Source organism: Homo sapiens, chromosome 1 (genome assembly GCF_000001405.40).
Source record: "Homo sapiens chromosome 1, GRCh38.p14 Primary Assembly".
Taxonomy (NCBI): domain Eukaryota; kingdom Metazoa; phylum Chordata; class Mammalia; order Primates; family Hominidae; genus Homo; species Homo sapiens.
Window position 1 is genome coordinate 94,111,892 of NC_000001.11, and position 9,625 is coordinate 94,121,516.

Below are 9,625 nucleotides of genomic sequence, written 5' to 3' on the forward strand. Positions count from 1 at the left end.
CAAGAAGACTCCACGCAGTTGCTGCTGCTGCTTGAGCAGACGCTCGTCTATTCCTTCAACCACGGTGAACTGAGCACCTACCCCAAGCATGCAGTAGGGCTGCAGGTTATGGGCTCCTCGGGGAGAGGTAAAGAAGAGTCTGATGGACAGGAGGCTGATTCAGAACTGGGGCCTGAAACTCATGAACGAGAAGGTGAAGATCAAGAATAGAGGACTGGGCAGATTTGCATAACGCTTGAGGCTTCCACATTCACCACATAGAGGGCCGGAAACCAGGTGAAGGCTTTCCCACAGGGGCAGAGTGTAAAAGAGGCTCTCACTAGGTTCCTTTCAGGTCTGCAGACACCTCAGGGGTCCAAGAAATAAAATTTTTCTTCAGTACGATTGTATAGCATCTCTTGTCCTCATTTTTCTCTGGCACCATGTATAACATATTCTCTATATTGATTCCTGAAATATTTTCGAGAACTCATCTACAAATCTGTTCTCTTTAAAACGAGAGAGTTTAGGTATAAAAAAATAAAAACTAGCAACAACAAAGCAAACAAAAATAAGTGCACAGTCCCTTAGTAACTACACACAAGTATTTGCTTAGAATGTGTAGGATTAAAACATGAAAATTTGGGCTGGACAAGGTGGCTCATGCTTGTAATCCCAGTGCTTTAGAACGCTGAGGTGGGAGGATCACTTGAGGCCAGGAGTTCAAGACCAGCCCGGGCAATGTAGTGACTCTGTCTCCACAAAAAACAAAAAAATTAGCTGGGAGCAGTGGCTCATGCCTATAATTCCAGCACTTTGGAAGCCCAGGCAGGAGGATCACTTGAGCCCAAGAGATAGAAGCTGCAGTGTGCCATGGTCCTAACACTGTACTCCAGCCTCGGCAACAGAGTGAGACCCTGTCTCTAAAGACTTTTTAAAAATTATAATTTGTGTAACATTGATAAATCTGTTACATGCATCATAGACATGAAATGATGATAAGCAGATCTGATCCCCACACTCCCACCCCAAGATCTTTCTAGACAAAAGGCCCAGACCAAAGTCTCTTCAGGGCTTGCCCAAGCTACCCTGCTATGCTTACATTCATGATGGCTGTAGAGTGGGTTGGCATTCCTTAACCAGATCAAGACCAGAAATAAAGATAAAGGCCACACGAGTTCCACCACAAAGCGAATCTGGAAAAACAAAACAAAAAGAGAGAAAGTTCAGTGGTGCTAAGAGATTATAGAAAACGTAACCAGAGCAGACACAGCCCTCCTCAGATCCCATGTGTGCAGTAGGACTTTGGTTGTGGTATCTTTACCTAAACAGTTTCCTTCCTTTACCCCCTCCCCACCATACACCCTCTACCTTGTTTTATTATATCAACCAGATTTTGTGTCCATCTGGGTTCCACTCTGCCTCTATTTTAGAAAACTGCATTAGCATGAGACTTTCATAAAGGATCATCAAGATCATCTGCTTCAGTGCATTTTAGCTGTCACTATGCACATGAATGCAGATTTGGGTTCAGTATGGCCCCACCAGAGCTTGCATTTCTAACAAGCTCCCAGGTAATGCTGATCTAACAGGTAGTAAAGATTTCTCTGTAGCCACTCACTCTGCAGTTAAGGAAAGAGGCTCAGAGGAGGCAGGTGACCTGTGCAGTGTCACATCAGCAGTGGCAGCATCAGAACCAAAATCCAGCCTCCTGTTTCTGGGGCCAGTGTCCTTTCTGGCCCTCCCCATTACCTTGCCCTTGCAAATGTGGTCATTTAATGAATCAGTGAATGAATGAGTGAATAAATGACTGTGATCCATTGCAAAGCCAACAAAAATCTGGCCTACCAACATGCTTCCTTCAAGTTTCTATTGCTTAAAGAAACAAAGCAGGGCACACTGCCATGGGTTTTTACATTGGAAGAGGCTGCTGATGTTAACATATGGTTGAAAGTTGGTATTTAAATTTCGGTTCCATTTGGAGCTTAAGGACTCTTGATTCCAAAAGCAGATCCAGTGGCTGTGGCAGTCCACACCCTGTGGCATTGCACATAGGGGTGGGGGTTGGAGATGTGGAATTATGGAGAGGAAGAGGGAGAGGGACATGTGAGTTGGAGAGTAGAATAGGTCTATGCAACCCTTACTCCAGGGACCTTAGGAAGGAAACACATAAGATCTGAAGGAGATCTGAAGCAGCTGGCCGGGGAATAGCAAGTTTAATAGATCAGCTAGGGGCTATTCACATGGTCTTTCATGTAACCCTTTGTTGTTTTCCTCTCAAAGAAATGTAAATAGGCTCTCAGCAAAATAAAAGACACCATAGCAGAGGCTCAATAAATGCTCCTTTCCTGCTAGTAAGAACAAACCATGTTCTGCTTTTTAAAAAACAGCCTACTGGCAACAAGATTATAAGAAACTAAAAAATAAATTGATGGGGGAAAATGATCGTGCATTGAAGAAAGAAAAAGCAAAAACTATTTAGGGACAGGTGGTGATTATGTAGCTGTAACTTTTTACAAGATGTTTTACTCAAAATATATATAGGGAGGATGTGTTGGAGGAAGCGCGCACACACACACACAATATGGGAAGAAAAGAATAGACTCTCCGTGAGGCACTTTTTTTTTTCTTTTTGAGACGGAGTCTCACTCTGTTGCCCAGGCTGGAGTGCAGTGGCACGATCTTGGCTCACTGCAAGCTCTGCCTCCCAGGTTCACGCCACTCTCCTGCCTCAGCCTCCTGAGTAGCTGGGACTGCAGGTGCCCACCACCATGCCCGGCTAATTTTTTTGTATTTTTAGTAGAGACGGGGTTTCACCATGTTAGCCAGGATGGTCTCGATCTCCTGACCTGGTGATCCGCCTGCCTCAGCCTCCCAAAGTGCTGGGATTACAGGCGTGAGCCACCGCGCCTGGCCCTGGACTTCCGCTTCTTAACACACACCGCACTTCAGGTTCATCACTCCTCCAAGTAAGTGAAGCCCTCAAGGGCAGTAAGCTTCCTGAGGACAGGAACCTCATCTGTCGTTGTCACTACTGTGATTCCAGCACCCCACATGGGGCAGAACTCATAATAGGTGCCCAATAAATATCCACGGAATGAGTGAGCCTTTGTCAAGACTGGTCTAGGAGGCTTCTCCAGGAAAGCCTTTGGTGACATGGGGCTCAGGTCACCAACAGTCTGTAGATTTAAGAAACAGCCTCCCCCAGGGTCATGTACATTGGTGTCTTGTCTTCCATTCTGGATCATTCCATCAGTGGGTAAGGCTGGGGAACAAGTTCAGTAAGATAGCAACGTTGAGTGATAGGAGCAATTGATGAAACCTGGAAGTTGTTTCCAGTGTCTTCACCAAAGAAATGAGACATCCAGTTCAAATCCAACACATTTGACTCCTTTAGACGACTGCTTGCAATATTGGCTTTCTATCACGTAGATCGGCTGTCTTCCATGCGGCAACATCTATCTGGGAGAGGTCTGGTACGTTAAACACTGATGCTGATTTGGGAGTTAGTGGGAAGATCTGGGTTAACAACCACTTTGGGGCTTGCTTAACCTCTGAGTCTCAGTTTTGTCCTCTCTGAAATGGGACTGCTCATTTTTCCTACAGTGTACACTCAGGGTTAAGAGAAGGTTACTCTGAGGTCAAGTTACTGGGGTTCCTATCCAGCCTGTTCCATCTTAGCTATGTGACCTTGGGCAGCCCACTCAACTCTTCCGTGCCAAATGGTCTCATCTGTGAAATGGATGTGATACCAGGACCTACCTCCCAGAGCAGTCGTGAGGGTGAAATGAGACAATTGTGTTAAACACGAAAGCACAATATGGCATGAGGTAACACTCAATAAACATGAGCCATTTGTTATTGCCTTACAGGGTTGTCGCAAGATCACAGGGTTGTTGCAAAGGCAGAAGAGTAAGGAGACAGAATTAAGCTTATCTGCAACCTTGTAGGCCTGCCCTCCACTTACGTTCATCTCCCTCCTTTTTGGATTCAGAACTCCCCAGTTGCCAACTTGGAACCATGGTGCTTGCTAAGAAACCAGCCACACACCGTCCCCTGCTCCATATATAAAGAGGGAGGGCTGTGTATCAGGGAGGGGACCAGCCAGCTTGGCCTGCCTGTTCCAGGGGTAAAATTTCCAAACCAAGCTAGTGCATTGTCATCCTCCCTTGCAAGGCTTGTCACGCACTCTCCTGGCATCCACCCACTCCCTCACTCACTCATTCTTGTATTTTTGAAGAATCTGGTCTCCACAAGGCACGGTGACTTAAAGGCCTCCTCTCAGGAGTAGGGGAGGGATCAGCACCTCCTTTCTCCCTTCCTTCTTTGTCTGGCCCTAGGACTGTTCCCACCTCACCTGTGCCCTCTTCTCATCCTTGAATTAGGCTGTTTTTTTTTGCCTATAGTCCCCGCCCCTCAAATCATCACCCCTGTTGATTAGGTCAGCACTTCTCATGTGGCTGCAGGCTGAAAACATGCCGGGGTCTCAGATCATACCCCAGATCAACTACATCAGAATCTTGGGGCATGGGACATCAGGGTTCTTCTTTTTAACACGTCTCAGGTAGTTCCACCGTGCAGCCAAGGTTGAGAACCGCTGCTCTAGGTAATGGTTGGTTGGTAATCTTTGAAAAATATTTGTTGAGAGGTCACTGTTGTTCTAACTCTGTGAGAGTGTGTTTGTTTTTGGCGGGGGGCGGGGGCGGTTGCTGCATTTCACGCGTCACTCCCTGGTCAAAGACCACCAGCCATTCTTTTCCTAGCCTGACAGGTCTGGTTTTCACAATAGCCTCTTCTGCCGGCTTCCAAAATCATGCTCAGCTTCCCCTCCCCAGAGCGGCATCCCTGTCCTTGACGCTTAACTGCGTACAGGCATACCCCAGGGAGAAATTCCACAGTATAATTAAAAACATGTTTTCTCAGCAGCTCAGACTCCCCCTACCCTGCCCTTTACACATGTCTGTAACTTTAATTAAGCCCAGCCAAGGCTCAGAAGGGCTGGTGGAAAATTCTTTTTTCCCAAACTGGTATTTCCTTCTTTTTTTCTTTTTCTTTTCTTTTCTTTTCCCCTTCCCTCCCTCCCTCCTTTCTTTCTTTCTCTTTCTTTCTTTCTTTCTTTCTTTCTTTCTTTCTTTCTTTCTTTCTTTCTTTCTTTCCTTTTCTTTCTTTCTTCTTCTTTCCTTTCTTTCCTTTCTCTCTCTCTTCCTCTCTCTCTCTCTCCCTCTCACCTCCCCTCCTCTCTTTACCATTCAATCAACATGGGGAGGAGGGGTTTCTGGCAAGGGCACAGTTGTGCTTGTTGTTTTAGAACTGAGCCTGTTAAATTTTCTTCCTTCCTGCTCTGTTTTCAATTTAACAGAAGGCAGCCAAGGCCTAAAATGAGCCCCATGATTCTTCCTTCTGCACTGAGAACCAGGACAGAATTCTTAGCCTGGACAAACATGACCCGGAGCCTGGGTACACTGGAGTTGGTGCCCAGCCTCTCTTTACTTGCCACATCCTCGGCTTGATGCTGAACCCAGGACAAAGGCCACAGCTGTCCCAGGTGCTCCAGGGTGTGGTGTCCAAAACATGATTAGCGCCCCACTTTCATGAGTCCTCAGGCCCCCCCACAGATATCCATCCTAACCCAGAAGCTGGGATGAAGGGATGACACCAAGAGACCCACCTAGTGATCTTCATAAACCCTCCCTGACACAGCGCCAGGTCCACAGCCAACACGGGCAGATGTATACTTGTCTTGTGCAGTGGAGAGAGCGCTCGTCATTGGGAATGCACGTTATCAGGATGAACTCCTTGGGAAGTCTTCTCTCACCCTCTCCAGCCCCGGTGCCTCCTCTGAGCTCACAGACCTCCTCCTCACCTCCCATCCGTGTTTCCTTCTACTCCACGGTCTCCACGTTGTGCTGCACAGTAATTATACGTGGGAGCCGCCCCTGCCTGGTTCTGAACTCCATGAAGGCAGTGGCTGTGTCTAGCTTACCTTGGTATAGGGCAAACACACGTCCCAGTTTTCCAGGTCCAGTGTTGGTTTACATTTATTGTCCCAGTGCAATTATTAATAGTGCTCCCTTTCACTTGCAAAACTGCCCTGATTGGATGATAAATTATATGGCCACTCTATCTTAGTGATATCAGTGACCAGACTATTGGATAGATCTCGATCCACGGGGGTCAGTGTGGTGTAACGGCCATGCCTGCCTGTCCTGGGTCACGCAGCATGGGTGTGAATCCCAGGTCCAACCCCACCAGTTACTAATCCTTCTCTGGAGCCTCAGTGACCTCATCAGTACCGGGGGGATCACAGAGAGGCCTCTCTCGTGGAACTGTTCGGAGAGTTCAGGGAGGTGATGCACTTAGTACAGTGCCAGACACTTAGTAACACTTGACAAATGTTAACAGAGGAAGAAAAAAAGAGGGAGGAAAGCAGAGATCTGAAGATTTTCATCTTATGCCCTTAGGGATTGGGAGCTGAGGAATGAGGAAATTTGGTATCTGATTTTACTCTTGCTCTGCTTACAGGAGACATGGAGGTTTGAGGGAAAACCTGGGAGCTGAATTATGGGCTGGGTGGTTGTACTTTTCTTAGAGGGACCATCTTCTAGAGGCAGAAGTTTCCAGAAGAACCGCAAGCTTAGGAAGGAGCCACAGATCCCTCTCAGAGCTACTGAATCTGTTGGGGGTGCCTCTGTCTTACCCAGACATCCTGGAAGCTCCTGGAATGTGGTAGCAGGTGGGGAGCCATCGGGAGGCGTGCCAGACAGAAATCTCAATTTCCAGGCCATCAGGATGGCATCCAGTGAACGCCAGCCCAGACCAGGCCCAGCCCTGGGAGGTGCCCTGGCCAAGGCCCTCAGCCCGAGTGGCTCCATCTCCCTGGGAGCACACTGTGGAGAAGGCAGAGTCCCTGAGCAGGAGTCGCCCACCCATGCCAGCGAAAGGCCAGATTGAGAGGGAGGGCACCAGAGCATTCTGAAAACAGGGTTATTCTCTGTCACAGCGACATGAGCGCCACAGGAATGGGCTCATTTTAGGCCAGCAGCTACAGTCCTGTTATCATGTGACCCCCTTTGAGGGTCACAAAGAGCACAGTGAGAATAAAATGAACTGAGAATTGTAATTTCTTATGGGAAAGAGAGAACAATGGCATATTGGATTTTCCTCCGCAGTCCACAGATGCCTCACATAGGCAGGGGCTGGGAGGTCTTGTTGCCATTGTATACCAATGAACCTAGCACGGTGCCTGGAGATTATTTTTTGATAGAAGGAAAGAATGAATACATGAAAAAATTTAATCATGAGGTTTTTTTTTCCAGTTTTATCAGGATTTTCATGCAAGAAGGGAAGCTCCTAGAAGAAAGGACTGAGTTTCTGATTACTCTTAATACTTGGCCCCTGGAGACAACAGATAACTTCAGCACCAGGCTTGACAGAGGAAAGTGACCTGAGGACAATGGTGCTTCCCAGACAAGTCAGGTTTAACTTGTCTCTTCCCCCTGCAGCCTCCCTGCGTCCTGGGCCAGCCACACACAGGTTTTGGAGCCATCCATGCGCATGGTTGAAGCGTGTCCCATGCTGCTCTCTTTTATGCTGGTTGTTAAGCTATTGTCCCTCGGCCCCACATGCACCAACCTGCCAGGGCTTTCTCCTCAGGGGTCCAGACCCGAGGTCAGGTTCAGAGATCCAGCAGCAGCCTCCATGCACGCCTTCCTCCCAAGTCCTAATGTCAGCTCCACAGACCTCTCATCTATGCTCCAAGTCTTAATAATTCCTGTCTCTTCCCTTGGTTCTCTCAGCCCTAGGGGTGGGAGCTGTGTCCTGCAATTGCTACCTCCATGATACCTTAGAGTTTCCTTTTACTCTCTCAGGTACCAGCTCTGTACTTAGCTAACACCTTTTCATATTAAACTCTAAGGAGACCCTAACTGAGACACTCATTCATAGGCCTTCACCTGTTCCAGTTGGCCCCATCACCTACATGAACTTATTCTGAACCGAGATTTGGAACAAATACTGTTCTCTTCTCGCCTAAAGCAGGTCTCCCTCCCTTTCCTCCTGATCTCTCCAGTGGCTTGCAGCTCCCAGGGTCCTAATCTCACCCCTACCCAGCCCCCATCCCTTATCCCCTCCTTCCTCTTTCAGCTCCTTTAGTCATCGGCATTTGCACAACTCTGCAAGGCTGTAGCAAAGTGCATTCTTTCTTTACAGTTCTATAGTCACTCCTTATCCTTTCCCAGAAAAAATTGCACAAAGCCAGTTGTCATTTACAAGTACAGTCTTGGTGTTCTCTGATCTCCGGCACCTTTTGCTCGCACTTCTCATGGACTATTCCACCTATGCTACTTTATGTTGCTCTTGGTCTCCAAACGTACTTTGGGTTTTCCCAGGCAGAACAGAAGCCAGTCCAGGGTGGAATCTGTGTCGTGCTTTTAGGGCTCCAGTCTAACCCAGGCTGGTGTCTGCTCATTGAAAGAGTTCAGGAAATGTGCGTGATGGTTAATAACGTATTGCATCTCACAGAATCTAGGACGCAGTCAATTGTAAGACACACTGTTACTTTTCTGCACCACTAAGAAAGAAAAATAATGTGTCCAGTTAAACTGTGACTTGATCGTGAGCTGCATCCCAATTTCAGAAATGCTAACATGTGAAAAAACAATGTGCCTCAGAGAATCAATGAAATAAGGCCTCACTAAGCTGGGAAGCTGTTCGAGGGGGTTCTTGCTTGCCTTTGGCCTGCTCTTCAGGGCTTAAAGTTCTTCCCACTGCTCAGCGTGGATGCCCTAGAGAGCGGTAGACTGGACAGGCAGGTGTAAAACGGGGGGTGGGGGAGGGGCGGGCAGGCAATGGATTGACAGGCACGGTAGGCAAAAGATTTTCATGTGGCTGAGGACAGAGAAACACATCTTCCTGGGAAGGGCACTGTCAGAGGGGCCCACAGAAAGGCCGTCCAGCTAAACACTGCTTCAGTGCTAATCGGCGACAAGCCCACTGACTGCTCACAACCCCCCACCCTGCCCCACCACCCTACCCCACCACCCCACCCCACACTTCCAACCTGTTTATTTGCTCCACACCTCATTTTTAAACCACAGACAGTAACTGTTACCTTTTGCCTTTTCCGCAGGGTCCAGTTCTTCCAGAGCAAAAGCTGTATCTGTCTCACGAAGCCCATGCTAATGACCACACGAAGACCAGATTGGTCAGAGCTGAGGCCCCTCAGACAGCAAAGGACATAAACGCCGTTAAGAGCGCCTCTGGCTCCGGACGCTGTGTCCTTCTCCTGGTGATTAAAGGCTACTTTTCCCCTTCAAAGCATAATCCCTTTTAATTACACATAAGCCCTTAGTTGGGGAGAGGAGGCCGACACTGTGTTGGCTCCCTTTTATGGAGAGAAAGAGAACCCTAAAGACACAAGTGGCTGGGCACCAGGGAAATTGAGGTGGGGGATGCAATGGGAAACCAAGACCCTCAGGCACTCTCCTCCATGAGAGGGGTTCCTGAGGGGGATGTCTTTAGGTATCTTTGACCTTAAGTTTGGAACAAAATCTCTTTGCATAAATATAGGCTGGGCATTTGTCCTCGGCAAGAGCCTGCCATGAGCCGGCAGTCAGGGTTTGACTGGCCCTTTAAGTCCAATCGACTC

General features: G+C 48.0%; 1 protein-coding gene across 2 annotated transcripts in view, besides 1 other annotated feature; it reads right to left on the reverse strand.

Moving 5' to 3' along the window:
• Positions 1-9,257, reverse strand: part of ABCA4 (ATP binding cassette subfamily A member 4) — a 128,315-nt gene extending 119,058 nt beyond the window's left edge. For both annotated transcript variants that reach the window (NM_001425324.1, NM_000350.3), the window contains exons 1-2: positions 9,089-9,257; positions 1,082-1,175 (exon numbers count right to left, since the gene is read on the reverse strand). In NM_001425324.1, coding sequence (NP_001412253.1) covers positions 1,082-1,175; positions 9,089-9,154 — 160 coding nt within the window. In that variant the 5' untranslated portion in view covers positions 9,155-9,257. The remainder of the gene's footprint in view (positions 1-1,081; positions 1,176-9,088) is intronic.
• Positions 1,349-2,331: an enhancer, noted in NCBI's record as "OCT4-NANOG-H3K27ac-H3K4me1 hESC enhancer chr1:94578796-94579778 (GRCh37/hg19 assembly coordinates)". NCBI's record gives its function as "activates a minimal SCP1, AML or CMV promoter by ChIP-STARR-seq in naive H9 embryonic stem cells {active_cell/tissue: H9 hESC(naive)}" and the evidence as "EXISTENCE:reporter gene assay evidence [ECO:0000049][PMID:30033119]".